This window comes from Homo sapiens, chromosome 21 (genome assembly GCF_000001405.40).
Source record: "Homo sapiens chromosome 21, GRCh38.p14 Primary Assembly".
In the NCBI taxonomy this organism is placed as follows: Eukaryota; Metazoa; Chordata; class Mammalia; order Primates; family Hominidae; genus Homo; species Homo sapiens.
The window spans coordinates 36512432-36539780 of NC_000021.9; the positions used below are offsets into that span (position 1 = coordinate 36512432).

The 27349-nt window shown below is 46.1% G+C and overlaps 1 protein-coding gene across 2 annotated transcripts in view, besides 3 other annotated features; it reads right to left on the reverse strand.

The window, feature by feature from the left end:
• The window catches only part of CLDN14 (claudin 14), a 115949-nt gene that overhangs the window by 51811 nt on the left and 36789 nt on the right, over positions 1-27349 (reverse strand). The gene's annotated exons all lie outside the window — the stretch shown is intronic.
• Positions 18013-18092: a silencer, noted in NCBI's record as "silent region_13287". NCBI's record gives its function as "represses an Ori minimal core promoter by ATAC-STARR-seq in GM12878 lymphoblastoid cells {active_cell/tissue: GM12878}" and the evidence as "EXISTENCE:reporter gene assay evidence [ECO:0000049][PMID:35858748]".
• Positions 23214-23583: an enhancer, noted in NCBI's record as "active region_18438". NCBI's record gives its function as "activates an Ori minimal core promoter by ATAC-STARR-seq in GM12878 lymphoblastoid cells {active_cell/tissue: GM12878}" and the evidence as "EXISTENCE:reporter gene assay evidence [ECO:0000049][PMID:35858748]".
• Positions 23764-23873: an enhancer, noted in NCBI's record as "active region_18439". NCBI's record gives its function as "activates an Ori minimal core promoter by ATAC-STARR-seq in GM12878 lymphoblastoid cells {active_cell/tissue: GM12878}" and the evidence as "EXISTENCE:reporter gene assay evidence [ECO:0000049][PMID:35858748]".

Here is a 27349-nt window from a genome sequence, read left to right on the forward strand (position 1 = left end):
GTTTGGAGATAGGAAAAGTATGGCATGCTCTCAGGATGTTTATAATTTACTTGGGGAGATAAGGCACATGATTGAAAAGCTAGTAAAATACAAGACAATAGAATATCCACTCTCCGGAATAATATTCAGCCATTAACATGGATGAATTGGATCCGTATGTACTCAGACTTGTGCAGGAAAAGGTCAGTAGCAGAACAAGACACCATCTATGTAAAAATTAAAGCAAAGCACACAGATGTGTGTGGACATATATGTGTATGCATGTGAACATATCTGTGTATGCCTGTGAACATATGTGTGTATGCACACGGCTGAAGGGGGACTGGAGGAAAGCACGTGGAAAAAGAGCCAGAGGTTCCTCCTGGGGAGGGAAGTGAGACTGGGGAGGACAGAGAAGGGCACCTTTCATATTTTTACCACACATACTTTTGTATTGAATACATTATTTAGAACAAGAAAGTCTTTCTATATTTCTTATGTAAAAAAGGAAAAGAATGAAAAACATAGCAACAAAGCAAGTACATGATTGATGCCAAGGGGTAACCCTAAAGGTAAAAATGGTGGCGTAGTCTGCCCATCACCTCACAAACTCTGCTGCCGCTCCTCTTCCTCCTTGTTTACAGAATCCCATTTTTGCTCAGGAATCTACCTGCCTGTGTCTCACGAGATATCTGGAAAAACATAAAATCATGGTGGTCCCATCCCATCCCATCCCTCTGCAGTGATTTGTGGCACTTGGTCATGTGATGCCATCAGGGCCAATGAGATTGGAGGAACTGTCCAGGGGGCTGCTGAGTAAAGCTTCTTTGCTCTTAAAAAGAAGAACAAAGAAGCCAAAGGACCACTTTTTCCTTCAACAGGATAGCACCGTTTCTGGATGTGATGACTGGCAATGCGGCAGCCATTTGAGCCTTAGGGAGCTATCCTGGGGACCAAGCCAAACTCTGAGGATGTTGGTAGAAAGATGGAAAAGCCTGAATCCTTGAAGATATTGTTGAGCCACTGAATCAACCTACCCTGGAGCTGTCCTAGCTCAGGACTTCAGCTCCAGTGACAGAACACATTTTTCTTTTTGTTAAAGCCAGCTGAGGTGGGGATATCTATTACCTTCCAACTCACATGCCAGTCACAGGAAGCCCTGTTTGTGAGGCTTCAAGCCCCTTGGGTGCATTTGAGGGGAAGTTTGAGTCCTCAGGGACATGCCCTCTGGGGACAAGAATGAGAAGGGGTCATAAGCCCTCTGTGGCTGGGGAGGCAGAGAAGTCATCCTGAGCTAGGGTCACTCTTTGCCCTGGCACCTCAGTGGGTGAGAGGAACTGCCAGGGTGAGGTAGGGAGATATATTTAATACAAGCAGCCCCTCAGTCTGGCCCCTGGGATAATTGATACGAGTTCTTTCTTTCTTTCTTTTTTAAAATTGAAACAGGGTCTAACTTTTTCGCTCAGGCTGGGGTGCAGTGGCACGACCTCCGCTCGCTGCAGCCTTGACCTCCCGGGCTCAAGCAATCGTCCCATCTCAGCCTCCCCAAGTACCTGGGACCACAGGTTCACACCACCATGCCTAGCTTATTTTTATTTATTTATTATTTATTGATTTATATTTTTTTGTAGAGACAGGGTTTCTCACGTTGCCCAGGCTGGTCTCAAACTCCTGGGCTCAAGTGATCCTCCTGCCTCAGCCTCCCAAAGTGCTGTGATTACAGGTATGAGCCACTGCACCCAGTCTACAAGTTCTTAACAGAATCAGAAGGTGTAGCTGGGAGACAAAAGACCCATCACAGCTTCGTGATATTTGGAGGGAAGTTTTCTTCCTTCAGAGCAGAAAGGATCACTGCTGTCATGGGGGAAGAATATTAGCAGCCTCATGGGAGCTGGAGTGAGGCTGGAGTTGGGACAGTGGCCAGCCTTACAGAGCCATGGGTAGGTTGCAAGGGCTAGGCAAGCAGAGCCCCATGGCCGTGCTGTGGTGGGGAAGAGGCAGGCAGGGGGAAAGCCCACTGCAGGTATTTCCACAGTGCGCCAGAAGCAATGATGGTTTCAATTGGTTGGTAGATGAGTCTCCCTGAATTAAACTCCACTCATCCCAAACTGGTATTGATTTAAAATATCTTAAACTGGGATAATCTCTTGCAGTATGTTGGAGCTGTGCACCCGAAGAGAGAAGGGGAAATAAAGTCTTATCGTGAGAGAAAGTGTGTGTGTGTGTGTGTGTGTGTGTGTGTGTGTGTGTGTAGAGAGACAGGAGGGAGAGAAGAGGAGGACATGGGAAGAGAGGAGAGGAGAAGGGGGAGAAGGGGAGAATGAGTCCTCATTTAACCTGGTCCTGAGGAGGGGGTGGCTGGTTTCTGCACTGAGATATAGGTGTTTCCTTCTCTTGCCTTGCCTCCAGCTTGAAATCAACCACTTCCCTCATTTCCTTGGAATGAAGTCAAGGAAGACTTGCTTACTCTTACAGTGCAAAACCCAGCCCCGGGTCTTCCCACTGTTATCTACTGAACCCTAAGGTCACTCAGAGCGACTTGAAAGTGTTTCAGGGGCCATAAATGCTCAACTCAAATCTCATTTAAAAATTTTCCCACTTTATACCTGTTAGGATAGCCTGTATCAAAAACCAAAACCCTTGAAAACAGCAAGTGTTGGTGACTGTGTGGAGAAATTGAAACGCTTTTGCACTATTGGGGATGTAAGATGGTGCACCGACTATGGAAACAGTAGGGAGGTTCTTCCAAAAATTTAGTACAGAACTATTACATGGCCCAGCAATTCCGCTGCTGGATACATGCCCAAAAGAGTGAACGCAGAGACTCAAACAGTCTTTGTACCCCAGTGCTCATAGCGGCATTATTCACAGTAGCCAAAAGGTTGAAACAACTCAATGTCCATCGATGGGTGAATGGATAAATCAAATATGATGTATCCATATCATGGGACATGATTCAGCCTTAAAAAAGTAATGAAGTGGCCGGGCCTGGTGGCTCACACCTGTAATCCCAGCACTTTGGGAGCCTGAGGTGGGTAGATCACCTGAGGTCAGGAGTTGGAGACCATCCTGGCCAACCTGGTGAAACCCTGTCTCTACTAAAAATACAAAAATGATCTGGGCATGGTGGTGGGCGCCTGTAATCCCAGCTACTTAGGAGGCTGAGGCAGGAGAATCACTTAAATCTGGGAGGTGGAGGTTGTAGTGAGCCGAGATCACACCATTGCACTCCAGCCTGGGTGACAGAGCAAGTCTCCATCTCAAAAAAAAAAAAAAAAATTTCTACTTACAAAACTGTAGTAAGAACAGGACACTCGGGTACTAAAAATACACACACGGCCCACCTGTGTGCTAAGCTGTGTTTCCCTTTTATCTTCTCTTTTTTTTTTTTTTTGAGACAGAGTCTCACTCTGTCACCCAGGCTGGAGTGCATTGGCACGATCTTGGCTCACTGCAACCTCCGCCTCCCGGGTTCAAGTGATTCTCCTGTCTCAGCCTTCTGAGTAGCTGGGATTACAGGTGTGCACCACCATGCCAGGCTAATTTTTGTATTTTTTAGTAGAGACGGGGTTTCACCATGTTGGCCAGGCTGGTCTCGAACTCCTGACCTCAGGTGATCCCCCTGCCTCGGCCTCCCAAAGTGCTGGGATTACAGGTGTGAGCCACTGGGCCCGGCCGTTTTCCCTTCTCTTTGTGCTCACCTGGGAATCAAAGTTCTCCCAGCATTTTCACCAGGGAGTTTGCAATTATTGCAACTATACCAGTGGCTAGGAAGTTTGTATCTCTTGTATGGATCTATTAAAAATTCAGACTTGATTTTCTCCACTTACATAAAGTTGCGGGAATACAGCTATAACATGCCCTTATCACAGCCAAAAGAGCCAGTTGTGGATAAACAGCTTGAGACATGCTGATATTATCTTTGTCATTTATTGTAAAGTTTTGATGCTTCTTGCCTGACTTTTGTTATGAATAAGAATACAAGCGACCGTTAGATATTGTCCATGGTTCTGCTTCAAAACAGAAACTTCCCTCTCGTTCTCCTCTCTCAAGCATCTGGATCAGTTTAAGTAAAGAGCATCTTGACACAGCCATCTGGAACTTCCTCTCAATTTCTGTATTCATCAAAAGGTACAAGTATTATAAATCTGAACTTGTGAAATAAAATTTTACCAACAAAGTACTACATTTGTTTCAGACATTGAGGTTTCCATCAGATTTGAATTGCAAAAAGATTCTGCTGAAAACAAAAAGTTTGAAAAGCACTGTATTTGCGCAATTCCCAGTTTGGTTCAGTTAAATGAATGCTCCTTGAAGATTTTGTTCAATTCTTAGCTGGACACACAGTACATTGGTGAGCGATAAGACATAGGAAAGTTAAATTCTGATTGTCCTTGAGCTAAGAATGGTTTTACATTTTATTTTACTTTATTTTATTTTGCCTTTTTGAGATGGAGTCTCACTCTGTCACCCAGGCTGGCTTGCAGTGGTGGAATCTCAGCTCACCGCAACCTCCGCTTCCCGGGTTCAAGCGATTCTCCTGCCTCGCCTCTGAAGTAGCTGGAATTACAGGCGTGCCCCACCACGCCTGGCTAATTTTAGTATTTTTAGTAGAGACGGGGTTTCGCCAAGTTGGCCAGGCTGGTCTCGAACTCCTGACCTCAAGTGATCCACCCACCTCAGCCTCCCAAAGTTCTGGGATTACAGGCATGAGCCACCACGCCTGGCCTGGTCTTTACATTTTAAATGGTTAAAAAAAATTAAAAGAAGAATATCTGATGATGTGAAAATTATATGAAATTCAAATTTCAGTGTCCATTATATAAAGTTTTGTTGGAACACAGCCACATTCGTTTGTGTACTCTCTCTAGCTGTTTTCATCCTACCACTATAGTGCTGAGTAGTTCTAACAAAGGCCATAGAGTCCCAAAGCCTAAAACATTTATTGTCTGGCCCTTTACAGTAAAAGTTTGCCAACCCTTGCATTAGACAATGACCATATCCATGTGAAGTCTGAACATCAAAACCTGAGAAGTTCACCTTCTTGATGCTGCCAATCTTTTGGCAACATTACTGCAGAGTTAGACAGACTACATCAGTGGTTCTCCAGTCTGGGCAAACCCAGCTCCCAAGAGGGTGTAGAGAAACGTGTGGGCACAGCTTTTGTTGCAATGACAAGACTCGCCATGCATATTTAGTAGGCAGGGACTAAAAATGTTAAATTTCAGGCAATGTTGGATACAGTCCTGCACAATAGAGCTCAAGGTGTACCCTGAGAAACAGGGATCCAGAGAATTGCTGTGATTAATTTTACAGGGCAACTTGGCTAGGCCATGGTGCTCAGATATGTGGTAAGCTGTTATTTTGGATGTTTTCATGAGGGTTTTTGGGAGGAGATCAACATTTAAATCAGCCAAGTTGAAGTAAAGCAGATGGCGCTCCCTAATGTGGGTGGGGCTCACCCAATCAGTTGAAGGCAGGAATAGAACAACTTCTGACCTCTTTGAGCAAGAAAGACTTCTGCCTGCAGATGGCCTTTGGGCGTCAATTGCAACTCTTCCCTGAGCCTCTAGACTGTTGCCTACCCCATCAGATTTGGGACTCACTATGGCTCCACAATTACATGTCAATTCCGTAAAATAAATCTCTCTCCACTTACATACGTACACACACACACACACACACACACACACACACACGACCTGTTGGTTTTGTTACTGGGGAGAACTCTGACTAATATAATTATCCCAAAGTTTCAGTTTCTGGTCTGAAAGTGATCTTCAGTCCACTTATTCCTGTGCTTTGCAAATTCTACCTCTTTTTCAAATTTCAAAATTCAGAACATTTCAAAAATAAGTTGACATTGCAAATTTCATCTCATCAAATGCTAAAAAAAGTTCATACTTCTGGCCGGGCGTGGTGGCTCATGCCTGTAATCCCAGCATTTTGGGAGGCTGAGGCGGGTGGATCACCTGAGGTCAGGAGTTTAAGACCAGCCTGTCCAACATGGTGAAACCCCATCTCTACAAAAATACAAAAATTAGCCAGGCATGATGGCAGGTGCCTGTAATCCCAGCTACTCAGAAGGCTGAGGTGGGGAGTCCCTTGAATCTGGGAGGCGGCGGTTGTAGTGAGCCAAGATCATGCCACTGAACTCCAGCCTGGGTGACAGAGCAAGACTCTGTCTCAAACAAACAAACAAACAAACAACAACAACAAAATTTACACTTCTGCATATAGGACTCTAATTCAATAAATGTGGTGTTTAATTGAACAAATGTGTATTGAACTCCAGTGACCCATTTGGAAGATGCTATTGGGGAGTGATATAAAGACAAGATATAGTCTCTGTCCCAATTTACCCAGAACAGAGAAAGGGCGACTATCAGGCACACAATTAATGGGAATACCAGGGCATTTCTGAGAGGCCGTATTACAGAGGTACAAATCAGGACCTGTGGGAGTCCTTCTCACAGGAGATCATAACTCCAACTAATGCAACCTCCCCGCTAGTAAAACCTATTTTTCTTTTTCCTTCTGAACTATTTCTCTCCCAGTTATTATCAGTGAAAAGCCAGAAGCTTCTCTGGTTTCTCACCCATGTCCAGAGACAGACAAGCCGTGGGTTCAGAGGCTGGTTTTTCACATCCTCCACTTCACACCACGAGGACCTCACCCACTGCAGCTGCAGAACAGGAAGGGGTCATCTACATTGGTTACACGCCCCATTTTTAGCTGGATGTAGCTAATTATTTTCTGTTTAAGACTCTTGTCTTTTTAATCATACGAAGGAACTGCATTATTACGCTCTCATTGTAAGGATATGAACCATATGGTAGTGCAGAAAATAAAATGTGAAAATCTGTTCTATCTGTTCTCATTTCCTCATCTCATTCATTACTGCAACAAAAACCAATTGTCCTCACTTTGGGAGGCCGAAGTGGGTGGATCGCTTGAGGTTAGGAGACCAGACTGGCCAACATGGTGAAACCCTGTCTCTACTAAAAATACAAAAAATTAGCCAGACGTGGTGGCTCTTGCCTGTAATCCCAGCACTTGGGAGGCTGAGGCGGGTGGATCACCTGAGGTCAGGAGTTTGAGAACAGCCTGGCCAACAGACGAAACCTCATCTCTACTAAAAATACAAAAATTAGCCCGGTGTGGTGGCACATGCCTGTAGTCCCAGCTACTTGGGAGGCTGAGGCAGGAGAATCTTTTGAACCCGGCAGGTGGAGGTTGCAGTGAGCTGAGATCGCGCCACTGCACTCCGGCCTGGGCAACAGAGTGAGACCCTGTCTAAAAAACAACAACAACAACAACAACAAAACCCCAAAAACAAAAAAACCCACAACCTATTGTCCAGTCAAGTCTTTCTTGCTACCAGAGCAGGGGACATGCCACTGATGAGAGCGTCTTCTCTGTTCCTTCCAAACACTCAGCCCAGCATTCAGATCATTGCTCACCCAGTGCAGAGTCACGGTGCCAGGGTATGGAGTACAGATGCCAGAGCCACAGCCATCAGAGACAGTGTTTTTGTTTTCTAGGGCCCTGCAACAAATGACCACGAGCTATGTGGTTTGTAGCAATAGTAATGTATTCTCTCACAGCTCTGGAGTCTGGAAGTCCCAAATCAAGATGTTGGCAGGGCTGTGCTCCCTCTGAGGCCTCCTCCAGGGAGGATCCTTCCTTGCCCCTCCCTGGCTTCTAAACTTTTCTGGTCCTCCTCAGCCTGTCGCTGCATCTTTCTAATCTCTGCCTCTGCCTTCACATGGCCGTCTTCCCTCTGTGGGTCTGTGTGTCCAAATTTCCCTCTTCTCATAAGGACACTGACCAGTGGATTGGGGTCTACACTCCTCCAGTGTGACCTCATCTTAACTTGATTACATCTGCAAAGACCTTTTTCTCAGGGAAGCTGATATGGTTTGGCTGTGTCCCCACCCAAATCTCATCTTGAATTGTAGCTCCCATAATTCCCATGTGTTGTGGGAGGGACTCAGTGGGAGATAATTGAATCATGGGGGTGGTTTCCCTCATACTGTTCTCGTGGTAGTAAATAAGTCTCAAAAGATCTGATGGTTTTATAAGGGGGAACCCCTTTCACTTGGTTCTCATTCTGTCTCTTGCCTGCCACCATGGAAGATGTGCCTTTCACCTTCTGCCATGATTGTGAGGCCTCCCAGCCATGTGGAACTGTGAGTCCATTAAACCTCTTTTTCTTTATAAATTACCCAGTCTTGGGTATGTGTTTATCAGCAGCGTGAAAATGGACTAATACAGAAGCTCACATTCACACACAAGGGAGTTATGACTTGAATAGATCCTCTGAGGGGACACAATTCAAGTCACAACAGATGGAGACTCCATACTTCTAAGCAATCCACCAGGAGCCACAATGGCCCCAAGCAAAAGATCATCTCTCTCGAAGGCCAGTCCTGCTTGACTATGGCACCTGGGCAGATAATGAAAACACTAACCCCCTTCAACGCTCCCCATGGACTGGGCTCACTGATCTGCAGAATGACCCCCGTGGGGACCTAGTCCAAGGTAACGTGCTGCAGCCCAAGCAACTGCTTGCTTCAATTTGCAAGCTGTGCAGAGCAGACAGCCCAAAATGGCAGTGGCTTGGGGAAAAGCCAGACGTTCTTGAAAAGCTGTCGTTTCAGAAAGAAAGAAAAAAAAATCACTTATTTTTTGGATAGGCATTGAGTATCAAAGATTTAAAAATTTGGCTCTGACCACAATATATCTGAAAGTAGAGGTCATTCCGTAAAGATCAGCCTCTTCCTAAATCACCAGGCTTTCCAACCAGCTCCTGGCAGGGTCCGAGGGTCCCGTCAAAGTGGCCAGTGGACTGCCCCAAGGGAAGCATGAGGAAAGCACGTGACCCCTTCTGGTAACTTGGAGAGGAGTGGCAATGGACAGAGAGTAAAGCTAGGGCATGAATGGGGACATTTTATAAAGGCAGCTTCCCTCCTCTCCTGGGCTCACTGGTACACAGGAGAGGAGAGTTGGTGGCTTGCTGAATAGCCATTGAGTTAAGAAATATAGCTTCAGACATACCATCTTGTAACTGGAGCCATCCAAACCTCTACTTCTGAATGTTCCCATGGCAAAAACACAGATTTTCACAACATTCCAGGAAAATCCTGAAATTGAGTCCTGTAGAGGGCTTGGGATTGTTTTGCCAAGGAAATAATATTCCACACATTGGAGGTCCATCTGTGTGGGCAGATGTCTGTCTTGGGAATGACAGAGTGAGGCCCCAAGCTGGTGGTCACTGCTGGGAGTAGGGGCCGGGACATAGACTGGAGAAGGCAAATGGTACCACCTGATGCAGAGATAACATTGGCCTGGGGTCCTTGTGTCAGCTGATGGGGACGGAGGTCAGCAATAGAAAGAGGACTCAGGAATGCATCTATCCTTCCTGTTCCCTGTCCCTTCACTCTCAAGGAAAATGGCAGCATCGTCACGATTCCCCAAATGAAAATCACATTGGAAAATATCTAGTGTTTTATACAAGAAGGCCAGAGGCTGATATCATGACCTTAGGTTTTAGAATTTTCTATCAGCAGCAACATGTCAGCTAAAAAATTCCCTATCAAGTTATTACCTGAAGTTTTTTATGCCTTAACTTTAAAAATAAAGGTCTGCAACTCCAAGCAAAAATCTTGGACTCCTCTTTATGAATCAAACTGATTCCCAAACTGAGATCATAGCCCACTCCCTGGCCCCTGTGCTTATTATAAAACCCATCTTCTTTTCACGTCCAATATAATCAAGGCAGCCACACCCCACACGCAGCACTCCAGCCTTACTTTCCCCAAATCCAGGCCCCACTTCATGTGAAAATGCATATTATTACCCCTGTGGGCTCAGAGCCTGTTTTGAAATAAAGCAAATAAGAACCACAGGGGAGTGACTCAAGTCCAAATTGTGTGTCCTGACTTGGCGCAAATGTTCTTCCTTGTCCTTGCTTATTAACTTTGGGAGACACTGAGCATTCCCCAGGATGCGCTGGGGGTTTGCACACAATCCTGCCCAAAGCTGGGCAAAGCCTGCGTGCCCAGCAGCCAGGAATTCCCTCCCCTCCATCCCCATTTGGGGCCTGTTCAGCCGCCCTCGTTTTCATGAACCCCACACAACCCACTGCGTTTGGAGGACCCTGTGATATATGGCGCCTTCCAGAGAACAGGATGCAGATGCGCGGGGGAGGTAACCGGAGAACAGCGCAAGAAGATGCGGCTGTCCCCGGAGCCCAACACATAAATTACAAAAACAATTTCGAATTCAAGGGCAAGCATTGCCATTCCTCTCTTTTCCAAACTTTGGCTTTTTTGTGCTGAAGGTAAGTTTGAGAGGAGTGTAGATTTTATCCCAAGATGACTTCTTCCCATTCCATTTTAATTATCCGCTGGGTCTCGGTGACTAAGTCATGAGTAGGGAGGACCCTTGTCTTCAATGCCCTGCCATTGGCCAGCCAAGATCCAGTGTTCACTGTAGCCATGGTCTTTTCTGGGAGCAGAGGAATTTGTTCAGGGGAAAGGGGAGAAGAGGTGGCCCACACGGAGGCAGGCAGAACTTCATGTCACTGCGGAGGCTGAACCCAAGACCAACCAGGCACTTGGCAGTGACCACCCCTCCCCACCTCCCCAGGGACACTCACTGTCCTGGCTGGACCCTTCCTGATCCCCCCAGTGTCAGGGAGCAAGCTTGATTGTCTGCGCCCAGGAGTCCCAGACTTGAGGGCTACATTTCTCCCGATTGCCTTTGTGCAGAGCACACAGATGGCTTCAAATAACAGGCTGGTTTCATGCACCTGTGCTCTGGCTGTCCCAGGTTTTAGAAAGGACTGATCCATCTCCTCTTGAAACTTCCATCTGAATACACATCAATAGGGTGTATATGTGTGATGAAAGAAACACTCTTCAGCTACATGATTAGATGATCTGTGTTCCCCCAAACTTTTGCAAACAAGAGACTGCACTCTGGACTTAAACTTTCTTTTCAATAAAAGCAATCTAGGAAGTTTCCCAGTTTAGGTAGAAAGTGGATTAGGCCAGGTGCAGTGGCTCATGCCTGTAATCACAGCACTTTGGGAGGCGGAGGTGGGTGGACCACTTGAAGCCAGGAGTTTGAGACCAACCTGGTCGACATGGCAAAACCCCATTCCTACTAAAAATACAAAAAATTAGCCATGCGTGGTGGTGTGCACTTGTAACCCCAGCTACTCGGGAGGCTAAGGCAGGAGAATCGCTTGGACCCGGGAGGTGGAGGTTGCAGTGAGCCGAGACTTTTCCACTGCACTCCAGCCTGGGTGACAGAGTGAGACTCCATCTAAAAAAAAAAAAAAAAGAAAGAAAGAGAGAAAGAGAGAAAGAAAGAAAGAAAGAAAGAAAGAAAGAAAGAAAGAAAGAAAGAAAGAAAGAAAGAAAGTGGATTCGGCACCATCCCTAATAACAGGTGGGAAGGGACTGCCCTTACTGCCCACTCCGAGATGCTCCAGCCCTGCCGGCTCCTGGAGTGTGACCTGAGGGACACAAAGCAGCACTCTTACCACCCTGAATGCCAGTTCCAAACACTGAATGGGGACACAGGTGACCTCAACAGCAGGACCTGACTGCTCTCTCCAAGCACAAGGAAACTTGTTTTTTAGATCTATACCCATCAGCAGTGTGAGCTGCAGGGAAAATGCATCTGGCTAAGATTTTTTTTTTTTTTTAATGAGACGGGGTCTCACTTGCTCTGTCGCCCAGGCTGGAGTGCAGTGGCATGATCACAACTCACTGCAGAGCCTTGACCTCCCGGGCTCCAGCGAGCCTCCTGCTCAGCCTCCCAAGTAGCTGGGGTCACACGTGTGTGCCGCCATGCCTGGCTCATTTATTTTAATTTTTTAAAGAGACAGGGTCTCCCTATGTTACCCAGGCTGGTCACAAACTCCAGGGCTCAAGAGATCCTCCTGTCTTGGACTCCCAAAGTGCAGGGATAACAGGCATGAGCCACGGCGCCTGGCCTGCCTCAGACTTTAACCTGCACAAGGGAATGGGGAACTCAGTTATGGCAAGAAATGAGACAGATACCGACCGTATGCCACTGACAGAAAATTCTAAAACCCAAAGTCATGATATCAAGTGAGGCAGATACCGACCCTGAGCTCCACGTGACCGTGCTGTGGGCCTAGAAATGAGGGGGATGGGGAGTGTGGCTGCCACATGACAGGCAGGATCGTATACCTACAGCCTCCTGGACCTGGGCCCAGTAGAGCAAGTGCTGCCACCTGATATTCCAATGTCACATTCAGAGACAGCCACTGGCCACTTCCCAGCAGGGCTGGTGGGCACTTGTGAGAATGGGAAACTGGACCCATGTGGAGGTGTCCTGCCTGGTATGCTCTGCCGGGCTGTGACTCACGGAGGGACGGGCCCTGCACCCAGGTGACATCAGAGCCCAGGGTGCCATCTTTTCTCAGCTCCTTCTAGCCCATGTTGTGGATGCAAGGCATGGGTGCCAGGTACTTTCCCCTTCCACCCACCCTTGGCTGCTGGGCCACCTTGACTGCCCTTGGAGTTCTGGGCCCTCAAGAGCCTTCTCCATCACCTGCTTCTCATGGGCGCTGCTCCGACACCCACCCCAGGTGCTCTGTGGAATGTGCCAGTCAGGGCTCCCTCACGGAGGGTGAACACCAAGGCCCACCTCAGCAAGCATGGCCAAACCACTCAACAAGCAGCCAGACACTGATGTCCTACCCAGCCCAGCCCTGTGACCTCGAGAGAAGGATAAGACGGACACCCTGACATCAAGAATGCGTGGTCTCGTGTGCAGCCCAACGCAAGTGCACAGAATGAGGGGGTGTCAGGCTGATGACATGCACTAGGGGACTCTGGGGCAGGAGGGATCAGTGAGCTTCAAGGAGAAGGTGAACGCCATGCTGAGTCTTGAAGGATGAAGAGGATGGAAGGTGAGTTTCAAGTCAAAGCTAAATGAAAAAAAAAAGAAATAAAGACTTGAAGCTGGCAGCGAGGAGAAAGAAAAGGTTCTGAGGCCAGGGTAATAGGGCAGTGGTCAGAGAGGGGATGATGATGGGGGTTGGAGGATGGCAAGGAGCCCCTCAGCCACAACAGGGGACACCAAAGATGACAGAAGAGCCGGCATGAGGTCAAAGGGAGGCCAGACAAAGGAACTTTTGGAAACCTGGCAGAGGTGTGAATGGTGACTTCCAAGCTGGTGAGCAGCAGGATGGAAAGGGCGGGTGATGGGTGTGGCAGCCACATGTGTGGTGTGCTGGGCAGATGCCCTCATGGTGAAGCCGAGGCTCTGCCATTGACCACGAGGCACCACCAACCACACTCTGACTCCTCCAGCGATACAGCTGCCCTCTCATCAGGAACGGTACCAAGGAGCCTTGGTACCATCAACTATCTGCTGCCAACCGGTTACATGGAGTCTTTAAAACTGGGGCTGGGTTTTAAAGACTTGAGAGGCTGAGCGGGAGGATTGCTTGGAACGTATGGTCCCTGCCCACAAAAAGCCTGGCCCCTGGACCAGAGGGAAGCGGCACGATGAAGGTATGAGAGTGTTTCTGTTGGCGGGTCCAGCCTCTGCGCTCTGACTTTCTCCAGCTCAGAGATATCCCTTCACCCAGGTTCCTACAGAGCCCCATGCTCTTTCCTTATCTGAGAACCACAGATTGGAATCCACAAGGAGTCTAGCTGAAGATCATTTAGTCCAGAGGGTGCAAAACTTTTCCTGGAAAGGGTCAGACGGTAAATATTTTCAGTGTTGCCGGCCACAGTGTCTCTGTTGCACCTGCTCGACTCTGCTATTGTAGTCCCAAAGCAGCCATAGACAATACATAAGTGAAATGGGCATGGCTGTGTTCCAATAAAACTTTATTTGCAAAAACAGGCAGCAGGGCAGGTTTGGCCCACCAGTCATAGATCTAGCGCTCAACACTCCCATCCTACAGATGCTGAAGTGTAGCCTCAGGAAGATGGAACTGACTTGACCAAGGCTGCATGGCTCCCAGGACCAGACCAGAACTCAGAACATCTGCTCCTCAATCTTCAAATCTCTTTTTAAATGCTATTCAACCAGCTGCTTCCTCCTGGCAAAGTGGGGTCCTGGAAAAGACCATGAATCTTATTGACTCAAGAGATCGGAAAGTCCAGTAGAACCTGCTGGGATGTTTGTGTTTTCAATGGAGTAGAGAAAACAAAAACAGATGAAGGACTTCAGCAATTTTTAAAAATGGAGTGTTCATTCAAATAAACTTTAAATCCCACCAGGCAACCACGGGCACTTCACACTCCTGAGGTAGGCCCAGCAATACCTGAGACAAATCTCACCCCTATTTAATTATCATTAATCTTCCCTCCAGGCTTTTCCATACCTGCTAAATAGCTCAATCCATCTCATTACTGAAGGCAGCTGCTAGGTATGGTTGTGAGAAATCTCATTAGCACAAATGTACTTCTGTATGGTGGGCCTGATAGGCCCACCTCCCGAGACGGGGATGTTGAATGGCAAAATCTCAGCTCTGAGGACCATCAAAGCACTGGGTTCCCCAAAGTTTTGGCCACACTCAGTAGTAAGAGCCTTTTATTATTGTCATTTTCAACTACAGAGATCATGCCCCCCAAATAAGAAGAAAGCAAACACCTTAAAAGGGCAAACTTGAAGATTCACAATAAATAGGTAACACGTGAGGGGTCCAACACTGTGAAGCTCAACTGTTCCTCCTCTCGGACGTGATAATTTCACATGTTCAGACCACCCTGTCAGCATGTCAGATTTAAAATATTACACGTAGAATAATGAAAAATTGCCAACTTCTCACCACCGTCTTTTGATTAATGAGGAGTTCCTTAGAGATTGATTGGTTTATTTGATTTTGTTGCCGGGAGTGACTGATGGCTATTTTAAAAAATACTTAGCTTAGCGCTACCCTCCATGAGATAATTTTCATATGCCTTGTGTAGCTGCGTCCAGAATAATTGGACTTTATTGCCTTCCTTCCATGCATGAACTGAAGTTCCCTGGAGAAGCAAAACAGCTTCAGACTTTGTTGCTTTAATATTTCCATGTAGATCAGCTGCTGTGTTCATGGAGATGCTTCCACCAGATGGCCAGCCCGCCTTGAAGTGACATTTCCCATTTCCCGTCGATTACTCACCAATGGAAAATAATGTGATACGAATCCCTCATTTGGGGTAATATGTGGCCATATCCTTGTTGTACCTGCACTAAAGATAAATCATGCAATAATTTCTCAACTGTCCAGGGAGAAAATAGGAGAAACAACAGGTCACCAGTGTTTGGCAGGAAAAGGGAATCGTTATTGGTAAGGCATTCACTGGGACATTGAAATCTAATGTCCTAATTTCTTTCTTTTTTTTTTCTTGTTGCTTGTTCTTCTGTATCTCAGGGGGAAGAAACTTATTTTGGTTGTTTAAAACATTTAAGCTCTGGTTTTTAGGAAGAATCCTGGTTTTGGTCAAGTCCCTAGATGTCTCTTCCCAAAAGCACCCATTTTGATGCTGAGGCGAGGACAAAAGTATTAGTTTTCAAAAAGCCCAACTTTATCTCCTGAACAGACTCAAATGATTAATTCTCAAAGTCATTGTCAAATTTTACTTTTAAAAATCTTAGTAATTTCTCTTCAATATTTGGTACAAAGCTGTCGGTTACTCTCAGATCATCCTTGTTTTTCAACTTCTCTGTTTGATTCCAGCAAATTCTTTTAGCTGGTCACTCTTGAATTACTGTTAAAGATAAGTAAGTAAAAATGAAAATATTATTAATAAGGTATGAATAATTATCACTAACAGTTTTTCAGCCCTTAACATGTGCCAGGCAGTGTGGTTAGGGTATTCCATGCTTTAAGCCATTTATTGTCACCGCAGTTCTGAGAGGCCAGGAATATTATCATCATCTTCCAGATGTGGAAAGTGAGACAGTCCACGTCCTACAGCCAGAGCAGGATTCGAACCCACAGTCCTGATTCCAAGCTGTTCACCTCTGTTCACTGGGGAAGCCAAGTGTTAGGAAACTCTTCTTTCTGGAATGTTCCATTTTTTCCCTTCTCAGAGAGAAGTCAGCCCTGTTATTTCCCAGTTTCTGCTCTTCCTACCAGGCTTCAGGTCTCTGCCCACTGTGTCCTCACAGGAAGGCAGCAATAAGGAACTGGGTTAGGGTCTCTTCCCCCGTCCACAGATATTGGGGTATGTGGGTCCCTGAGTCTTCGGTCCATGCAAGGGGCATCTGTCCCTCTCCTGCAGACAGTGATGCACCCTGGGCCGCAGGCTGGCTGCTCGCAAGTTGCTTTTCCTCAGTGAAAGAATCTGCTTGTTGGAGGCACCAGAAGGTTCTTGAAGCTGCAGAAAATTCTACAAGTGGTGGAAGGTTCTGGAAACAGCTTCCTCCCTCCTCCTCTCCCCCTTCTCCACCACAGGCAGCATCTGCTGTAGTGTGAGCCGCAACCCTGCCTGGCCCTCCACCAAGCCTGAGGAGGACGCGAGCTCGGCTGCGGCTGACAGCATTCAGCAGCAGAACTCCAAGCAAGGGGGTCACCTGCCCAGGAGACTACCCCCTTAGTAACTCAAGCTTTTATGCACTCATTGGTATTCATCCAGATGGCTGTTTTGGCTAGAAAGAAACACTTCTTCCTCACTAGAATTACAAATAATTTGAGCAGAAAACTACAGGCAAGACATGTTAATTATGTTTGAAAGGATGTATCTTTTGGTACAAAGGGTTTTCTTAATCTAAAAATGCTTTCCCCGATCTCAACTTATATCTAATGGTAGTTTTTAGCACACAGAGTACGTAGCTTATTTTGTTTAGTCCTTTCATACCCACCTCCTGTGCAGGTAAAAAAAACCACATCTTTTTTTTTTGAGAGGGTGTCTTGCTCTGTCTGTCGCCCAGGCTAGAGTGCAGTGGCACCATCTTGACTCACTGCAACCTCCACCTCCCGAGTTCAAGCGATTCTCCTGCCTCAGCCTCTCGAGTAGCTGGGATTACAGGCACCCACCACTACGCACAGCTAATTTTTGTATTTTAGTAAAGACAGGGTTTCACCAGGCTGGCCTCAAACTCCTGACCTCAAGTGATCTGCCAGAGGCCTCCCAAAGTGCTGGGATTACAGGTGTGAGCCACCCACACCTGGCCAAAAAACCCATAGATTAATATGTGTCCTTTGAATCAGTCTCTTCCTTAGTAACTTGCTTCAGGATCCAAGGAGTGAACCACTATGGAAATTTTTCTGTAATAATTTCCCTTAATCCTTATTTAGATTTGTAAGTCTAAACACTTACCATTATCTGACACATGAAGTATGAGCTATGGACGTTGTCTCATAATCTTTTCCTTATTCCCTATTTATATTTATTTGTTAGTCTAAAAATTAATTGTTACCTGACATATAAAATAAATGTCATGAAAGCAACTGTTTTATGCAGAACAACGTAGTGCTGTGTAGTTTTTATATTATGCTAATATCGGAGCTAGCACTCCTGCCCCCAGCCTCCAATCCTGCTCATCGACCCCGAATAACAGACACCTGAGCGGGCACCTGCTGGGGGATGGACTTTGTTAGGACGATTAGAAAGGAGCGTTTCCATGATTTGCTTATGCTTCACCCTTCCTTTCAGTTAAAGATTAAGTCTTTGCATCGGATTTCAGTTCCGAGGCGGGCCGGGAAGGGATGTGGATATTTTCTTTATTTTTTAAAAAAACAAACCCTTGTAGATAGAGTTGGTTTATTTTTAACAAGGGTAGAAGCATTGTGGGAAGCTGTTTTTCAGATTTCATTTCAGCCACAGACCGTGCTGTACAAATGAAGACACAGCCTGGATTCTCCCTAATGAAAAGAGTGTGTCGGGGATGGGGACAGTGGCGGGGGGTGGGTGGGCTCTGAGGGAGCAGCTCCCCCTGCACAGAGATCCGGGCCACATGCAGGTCTGCAGTGACTCTGCCTTCTCTCTAGCCTCACCTTCATGCAGCACTTGCCTTAAACCAGCTCACATGCCCCACCTCAGGCAGGTCAACCAGCTTTTACTGAACACCTGCTATGTGCAGGGCAGACCAATAGGCATAAAGGAGGTCTCTGTCTTTCTAGAGATAGTCTGGTAGATGAGACAGATGTGGAAACTAATAAATCTAACAAAGGGCAGAGGCCATGTGATAACAAAGACAGTAAGTGAAACCCAAGCCACAACAGATACAAGCATAGGTTGAGGGGATCATGGAGGGAGTGACCGATTCCCACCAAAGGAGAGGGGCAGAGAGGGCTTTGGAGAATAAACAGGTAGCAAAAGGGAGATATTTCAAAAAGTGGGAGGAGGTTGTGTTTCAGATGTACCCGGGGGAGTTTGGGAGGGAGATGGGAAATGAGGAGCAAACCTTCAAACAGCCCCCCAAAAAGAAAGAAGGCTCTAAGACAGCCTGTTGAGTGAAACAACAAGATGCAAAACAGATTGTATTAAAACATAAGTTTGGGAAACAAATTATGTTCAATAAAGCAACATTTAAAATAATGTTAACCGAGGTGAAGTGGCTCACGCCTGTAATCCCAGCACTTCGGGAAGCCCAGATGGGCAGATCACTTGAGGTCAGGAGTTCGAGATCAGCCTGGCCAACATGGTGAAACCCTGTCTCTACTAAAAAATACAAAAATCAGCCATGGGTGGTGGCACCTGTAATCCCAGCTACTCAGGAGGCCGAGGCAGGAGAATACTTTGAACCCCGGAGGTGGAGGTTGCGGTGAGCCGAGATCATGCCACTGCACTCCAGCCTGGGTGAAGAGTGAGACCCTGTCTTGAAAAAAAATTAATAATGTTATAGAAATTTTAGGGAAATAAATATATATATATTTGCTATAAATGTTTTTTTTTTTTTGAGACAGTCTCACTCTGTCACCCAAGCTGCAGTGCAGTGGCACCATCTTGGCTTCCTGAAGCCTCCACCTCCTGGGTTCCAGCCTCCCAGGTAGCTGGGATTACAGGCACGCACCACCACGCTCAAATTTTTGTATTTTTAGTACAGACAGGGTTTCACCCTGTTGGCCAGGCTGGTCTCGAACTCCTGACCTCAGGTGATCCACACGCCTCAGCCTCCCAGAGTACTAAGATTACAGGCATGAGCCACTGCGCCTGGCCTATAAATGTATGTTTAAAAGGCCTCTATATATCCTCAATCAATAACAGCCTCTGGGGTGGGACAGGAGGGAATGTCCCTCCTGGTGGAATGGGGCAGGAGTGTCAGAGTGGACTTCAGTCTTTGTCTGTTTTTTTTTTTTTTTTAACTAAGGAAAATATATTCTTCATTATCTATGTAATTAAAATACGTTTTAAAATCTAATAAATCACCTATTTACTTTTCACTATAACGTAGGGCACTTAAGGCTATTATGTTATGTCCAATACATCTAGGTTTGATACTTCAAAGTCAAGCGGATTCTGGAGAAGCCAAAATACTGACCCAGAAAGTCTAGATTCGCCTAGTTTAATTCCCTTATTTTACAAATGGGGAACCGTGGGTTTCTCACGGTCTTTTTGTTGATAGGTGCAGGAAGATGTACGTGAAATAATTCATGGAAAAGTCACAGTGGCCTTGAAGTTCTCCAGATAACTATGAAAAACTACGTTAAGATGCTATTTTTCAACAAAATTCATTTTACCAACCTCAAAACGTATTTCCTCCGAAGAGGATACGCACTGACAAACAACACCCGAGTGTGGCATGCTAGCAGGAGCACTAGGCTGGGAGTCAAGAGACTTAAATTCCACCCGGAAGCCACCACATGACCTTGGCATGAGCCCGTCACCAGGCTCCTCAGCGTCCTCATCGCAGCACCAGGGATTTCCCAAGCCCTCCGGAAATACTGTAACTTGACAACAATGGAGAAAGACTTTCACCCATGCGGTTGGAATGCTAGCCTTAAAATATATACAATTGTTACATGTCAATAAAAATAAATAAATAAATGTTTAAAAAAAAAAATGTCCTTCCAGGGAACATCACACACCGGGGCCTGTTGTGGGGTGGGGGGAGTGGGGAGGGATAGCATTAGGAGATATACCTAATGCTAAATGACGAGTTAACGGGTGCAGCACACCAACATGGCACATGTATAGATACGTAACAAACCTGCATGTTGTGCACATGTACCCTAAAACTTAAAGTATAATAATAATAAAATTAAAAAAAAAGTCCTTCCAACAGGTTTCAAAAGTGAGGTTCTAATTTAAGCCTTGCAGGGTCTCTAATGTGAAGCCAGTTTGGTGGGGTTGAACGCCAAAAGGATAGGAAGGGCTTCTCTTTCGAGAATGCGGGGAGAAAGAAAAATCAGTATTTTGACTAAAAGAAAGTATTTAAGTTACGATCAGAAATATATTTGTCTAGAAATAAAAATGCATTCCCCCTGACCCCCCATCCCTTTAAATAGTCACAGCTGGCTCTCTGGCCATATAAAGTTACCATGCTGTCAAATGACTCAACTTACAACATCTGCATTGGTGACCGACATCCTGTATCATGGGCTATCTAACCCTTTGAGTCACGACACCCCTGTTTGAGTAAGGTTTATTTTACTAGCACCAAGAGACTCCTGCGTTTAACATCTGTGGTGCTCCTCCTGAAATTCCTAGCCATAAAACAAGTAAATTCAGCGTGGTCTGAAATTCCAGAGCGTAGCCACGAACTACACAGAAAACACATTCGGTGGGGCCGGTCGGTAATGGAGCAGGGCTTAGCTCGGGTGGGGCTGCACATCTGGCTGTGCCTTCCCTCCGCAAGTGTGGGAAGAGGACCTGGGAATGCCAGGGTCCAGCCAGGCAGAGAGTGGCTGGATGGTCTGCACGGGCAGGGGATGCTCTGGACACATGGCCAGGAGGGTGCTCCCCACAGTGCACCCTTAGGTGCCAGGTTGGTGACATTGGGTGTGACCAACTGTTAACCACTAAACTCCATCTGTTAATGTCCTCTGTAGGCCAAATACTCCATGTGCCTGAAGATGCTTCCGGCTTACAATTGTGAACTCAGTTTCTGTGTCCAGCATCGAGAGTTTAAAGTGGGGCGCGCCCATTCTCTGGATGGGCACAGAGCTGTTAAAATGGTGATTACGTAGACATTGTACCACGTGGGAAAATATTGATGATGAGACCACATTAGAGAAAATGAGCAAACAGAATGCAGGGTGGCAACGTCACCATGGTAATAAATTGGTAAGACCTCCTGGAACACTATGCAGCCATAAAAAAGAGCCAGATCATGTCCTTTGTAGGAACGTGGGTGGAGCTGGAGGCCATTATCTTTAGCAAACTAATGCAGGAACAGAAAACCAGAAACTGCATGTTCTCACTTATAAGTGGGAGCTAAATGATGAGAACACATGGACACATAGAGGGGAACCACACACACTGGGGCCTACCTGGGGGTGAAGGGTGGGAGGAGGGAGAGGATCAGGAAAAATAACTAATGTGTACTAGGCTTAATACCTGGGTGATGAAATAATCTATACAATAAACCTCCACGGCACAAGTTTACCTATATAACCGACCTGCACATGTACCCCTGAACTTAAAATAAAACTTAAATAAATTGGTAAGATCTGACGTGCCTGTGCAGCTGAGGACTAGAACTGAACACAGAAAAATTGCAATAGCTTAGTTCACTGGAGTGAAGTGGCTTTAAATTTTTTTTTTTCTTTTTGAGACAGAGTTTCACTCTTGTTGCCCAGGCTGGAGGGCAATGGCGCGATCTCAGCTCACTGCAAACTCCGCCTCCCGGGTTCAAGCGATTCTCCTGCCTCAGCCTCCCGAGTAGCTGGGATTACAAAAAAATTTTTTCATGCTATTCATGAAAATTAATAATTTCAAAGACATAATCCCAGCTTTTTAGGGGAGTCTCCGGCAAGGCATGGGGGTGGCATCTGCATGCAACACACGGTTGACAGGAAAAAGGGATGATGGAAGCCCAGGACGATCCCCCCGTGGGAACCAGAGCAAGGTCGTGAACTTCAAAGCTCTTTGACAAGTACAGGATGATAAAAACATATGGGTTTAGGACAACTCCCCGTCACATCTTCTGTGTGGCCGATGCCTGGCAATCCTTCAAGTCTCTCTTCCATATCAACATGCCTTGTGTGTGGGGTGAGCGGGCAATAAGGAGAGGCTGGCTGACAATCACCATGGCACCATCCCATCAAGATGACGCACAGACTCCTCAGCGAGGCGCACACCTGGCCTTATGTGCCAGACATTCTACTCCAGGGGCAAGCAGCCTCTAAATTATTTGTCACTGATACCCTGAGTGTCCCATTTTCACGATGCCACCCAGCTCTGGGTTCAATCCTGCTCTTGCTCATTCCCCTGGGCAAGGTGTCAGTCTCAGGCTGTGTAAAGAGGCTGTGTCCCCGCCCCTTATATTTAAATATTGAGTGGGTTGCATCTTTCCCAGCCATACCAAGAGGAAATGCAACCATCTCCCTCCCTGAGGCCAGCGTAATCTAACCATCACAAGCCAGGAAGGGTTGTGGCAAGCCATTGATCTTATTGTGTAATTATGGCTAGGGAAGTGTGAATGATAATGGATGAAAAGGAGAGGTGGAAACAACAGACTTTGCCTGAAAATGGGATGAGTTAAATTACAGTGCATTGATTCAATAGAAAATCATTTATCCATTTTTAAAAATGCTTTGTGGGCTGGGTGTGGTGGCTCATGCCTGTAATCCCAGCCCTTTGGGAGGCTGAGGGGGCGGATCACCTGAGGTCAGGAGTTTGAGACCAGTCTGGACAACATGGCGAAACGCTGTCTCTACTAAAAATACAAAAATTAGCTGGGGGTGGTGGCAGGTGCCTATAGTCCCATCTACTTGGGAGGCTGAGGCACGAGAATCACTTGAACCTGGGAGGTGGAGGTTGTGGTGGGCTGAAATTGCACCACTGCACTCCAGCCTAGGTGACAGAGTGAGACTCTCTCAAAAATAAATACATAAATAAATAAAAGTAAAAAATAAAATACAAATAAAAATGATTTATAAAGACCACATGGTAATGGAAAAAAGCATGAGCTATAAAATTAAGTGAGAAAAAGTACTGTACAAAATGGTATGTGAATTATAACTATAAAAATACATTTAAAGACCACAAAAGAATACAAATATATAGGTATGCATACACATACACATCTAAATGACATGTATAGTCATGTTTTATTCTAGAAAGGAGATGAACAGGTGCATTTCCTTTAATGCAGAAGGGAGTCCACAGAGAGTGGCTCTGAGCAGGTGACTTAGTTGGTTTCAGGAGTGGTGAGATCATGGGGAATTTTTTCTCTGTGGCCAACAATTTCTGTAACGTCATGTATAAGCAACTGAAAAATTATTATCTCAAAGCACATGAATTTTGTATGTTTTGGCAGCACTTTCTGCAGTTCAAATGGCCATATGAAACCCTTCGGGTTAGCCACAGGTACACCTTAGAGCAAACCCACCCCATGGGACTGACAGGAGGCAAAGTGGCATGAAAGGACAACACGGTGCTCCCCCACCCTCGGAAAGTACAGGAATCCATCCTCACTGCAACACCATCTGTAAACGTTCTCCAGGGGAGGAGAACGCAGCCCTGCTGTGCTGTTCAGCACTTAAGCAGACTGAAAAAGCAATTATCATAAAATGCAAGTTCAGCTGCAGCCCAGCTCTGTGGGGAGGTTGTTGGATGAGGAGCTGTCTGTCTGGGACAGCCCCTGACTCAGGCTTAGCTTCATCCTTGAGGTCCAGCCTTGCACCTGCTCTGTTTCCTCATCTGGGGTCCAGCTGACATCTGCCTGTACCTGAGGACCTGCCCAGGGAAGGCCGAGGGAGACAGTAGGGGACTGAGGACAAGAGTGGGAGCCAGGCAGCCCACCCATCCTCAGTTCTCCCTCGTGTTAGATGCAGAAATCAAGTTACCTCGACTGAACTCATTTTAAAAATGACTTTACTCCATTCTGTGTCAATGTTGCATTCTTGGCTTTGACCTTGTGTATTAAAGAAGCAGCTCAATGAAAATGTTCCGACATTACCTGTGAGCTGTGAAAGAGGTGGCTGATTATTTTGTTGGTATCATTTGTCTAAAGCTCCATGGGACAAATTATTTTCATAATCCTAGTGCAAGTAAAGATCATGTTTCCTAAAGGTGATCTTTAAACTATTTTTTCATTGACAGTAGAAAGCTGAGAGTGAAATTTTGCGTTTAGTTATACGAACGACACTAATGTGTTTATAGCACCTCTATTCCCCTCCTTCCTCCCACCCACCATCCTTCTACATGTTAAGAAAATATTTTCTCTTTTTTTCAACAGACTTTCTCTTTTATTATAAACTGCCTCAAATTCTTTTTAGGAGTAGATAAGATGTCAATAAACCTGCATGGCAACATATCTTGAGGAAATTGCCTATTGGCAGAGACACACTTTCTTACCTTCAACAAGGTAGTAACATTGCTCAACTAAAAAAACCTGGGCCAGGCTTGGTGGCTCACACCTGTAATCCCAGCACTTTGGGAGGCCGAGGCAGGTGGATCACCTGAGGCTGGGAGTTCAAGACCACCCTGACCAACATGGAGAGACCTCGTCTCTACTAAAAATACAAAATTAGCTGGGTGTGGTGGCGCATGCCTGTAATTTCAGCTACTCGTGAGGCTAAGGCAGGAGGATCGCTTGAACCCGGGAGGTGGAGGTTGCAGTGAGCCGGAGATGGCGCCATTGCACTCCAGCCTAGGCAACAAGAGCAAAACTCCATCTCAAACAAACAAACAAAAAACAAAAAACACACAAAAACAAATCTGCAGAGAGAGAGAGAGAAAAAAAAATCCAGGCTGTGGGGTTGTCTATAAGACAACTCAGCTAGGCCCTTCAGAAAGTCAGTCATAACAAAAAGTCTGGGAGACTGTTCTAGATTGAAGTTGATAAAAAGACGTAACAATGAACATACTGATCTTTGATTAGATCCTGCTTTATTTTTTATTTTTTTAAAAAAGCTATAAAAGATGTTTTGGATGCAATTGGGAAAACGTGAATATGAACTGGATAGTAGATGACGCTAGAGTTAATTTTTTTAAAAATTAATGTTATGAGGTATGATAATGGTGTCGCAGATACATAGGAGAATGTCCTTGGTAGACATCTAATGAAATATTTATAGTCAAGTATCATGATCATTTACAATTTACAATTTACCTTCTTTTTTCTTTGTTTTTCTTTTCTTTTCTTTTTTTTTTTGAGACGGAGTCTCGCTCTGTCACCCAGGCTGGAGTGCAATGGTGTGATCTTGGCTCACTGCCACCTCCACTTCCTGGGTTCAAGCAATTCCCCTGCCTCAGCCTCCCAAGTAGCTGGCGTTACAGGTGCGTGCCTCCACGCCTGACTAATTTTTGTATTTTTAGTAAAGACGGGGTTTCACCATGTTGGTCAAGCTGGTCTCGAACTCCTGACCTAGTGATCTGCCTGCTTCAGCCTCCCAAGGTGCTGGGATTACTGGCATGAGCCACCACACTCAGCCTACAATTTACTTTCAAATGGTTAAGAAAAAATCAAAACAAAATGTGTGTGTGTGTGTGTGTGTGTGTGTACAGAGAGAGAGAGAGAAAACTGTATATGACAAAATATAAACAATGGTTAGAGCCAGGGAGACAGTCTACAGGTGTTCATTGTACTATGCTTCTATCTTTGCTGCCTGTTTGAAAATTTTCAGTCAGTTGGATGGAGGTCTATGAAAGTCCAACACTTATAGATCAACCAGAAATAGATGAAATCTGATGGTAACTCATTTTCTGGAACCCCTAGTGTACCCCCAAACAACTCAAATGGTTGAGATCAATGTTAATGGGTTTCAGTCATAAAACTTAGCAAGAAAAAGGAAAACAATCACCACCACCACCACAGTTTTGCTGCTGTCACTCTGTGTAGGACGGGTTGCAGAACTGCGTGGCAAGAAGAGACAGCGGATCACAAGGTCAAGAGATCGAGACCATCCTGGCCAACATAGTGAAACCCCGTCTCTACTAAAAATACAAAAATTAGCTGGGTGTGGTGGCACACACCTTTAATCCCAGCTACAAGGGAGGCTGAGGCAAGAGAATCGCTTGAACCCGGAAGATGGAGGTTGCAGTGAGCCGAGATCGCACCACTGCACTCCAGCTAGGTGACAGAGCGAGACATCGTCTCAAAGGAAAAAAAGAGAGAGAAAAAAAAGAAGAGACAGCATTTCAGAAGGAGTCTCTGCCCAGCGTCCAGCAGCAGTCGGTAAGAGAAGCCCATGTATGAGAATCAGGATGCTGCAGTGCTCCCTCAAGTCACCTCCATTGAAAACCATTTTTTTTCCACAGTTGGAGTGGCCGATTGCTGCAGGTATGACATCTGGCCAGTACCAAGTCTTCCTAACTCTTCAGAGATCACCCCAACTCAGGAATGGGCAGACATAACGGCATAGGGAGACCTGTACGAGTCACCTGACCCCCAGCACCAGGTCAAGGCTGCAGGAGTCCCAGTCGCGCCCCTGCCCGGCACACCCACACACAGAGCTTGCTTCTCAACTAGGCCCGGCCAGCGCAGCTTCCTCTGGGCAGGGCCCTAAATGTGGATTCAGAGCTGGACAGCATCCGCTGACCCCACTCCAGAATGATGGCTGGGAAGTCTCTGTTGTAACCCCCGCCAATTTAAGAGATGCCGAGAATGAGCTTTCAGTCACATATTCATTCATTTTAAAAATGTTTATGGAGAAACTTCTCTGTGCCAGGCTCTGTGTCAGACGGGAATATAAGTTTGTGAACAAATCAGATAAGATCCCCACACTCAAGGTGTTTAAGGTCTACTGGGAGACATGGCAATGAAATAAGCAAAAAATACGTGTGTGGTGTGTGTGCAGAGTGAGTGCGTGTGGAGTGTGTGTGGAGTGAGTGTGTGTGGAGTGAGTGTATGTGCGGAGTGAGTGTGTGTGGAGTGAGTGTGTGTGGAGTGTGTGTGGAGTGACTGTGGAGTGTGTGTGTGGAATGAGTGTGTGTGCAGAGTGAGTGTGTGTGGAGTGAATGTGTGGGGAATGTGTGTGTGTGCAGAGTGTGTGGAGTGAGTGTATGCAGAGTGAGTGTATGTGGAGTGTGTGTGGAGTGTGTGTGGAGTGAGTGTGTGCAGTTTGTGTGGAGTGAGTGTGTGTGTGGAGTGAATGTATGTGGAGTGTGTGTGGAGTGAGTGTGTGCGGAGTGTGTGTGTAGTGAGTATGTGTGTAGTGAATATGTGTGGAGTGAGTGTGTGTGCAGAGTGAGTGTACGGTGTTAGTGTGTGTGGAGTGAGTATGTGTGCGGAGTGAGTATGTCTGCAGAGTGTGTATGTGGAGTGA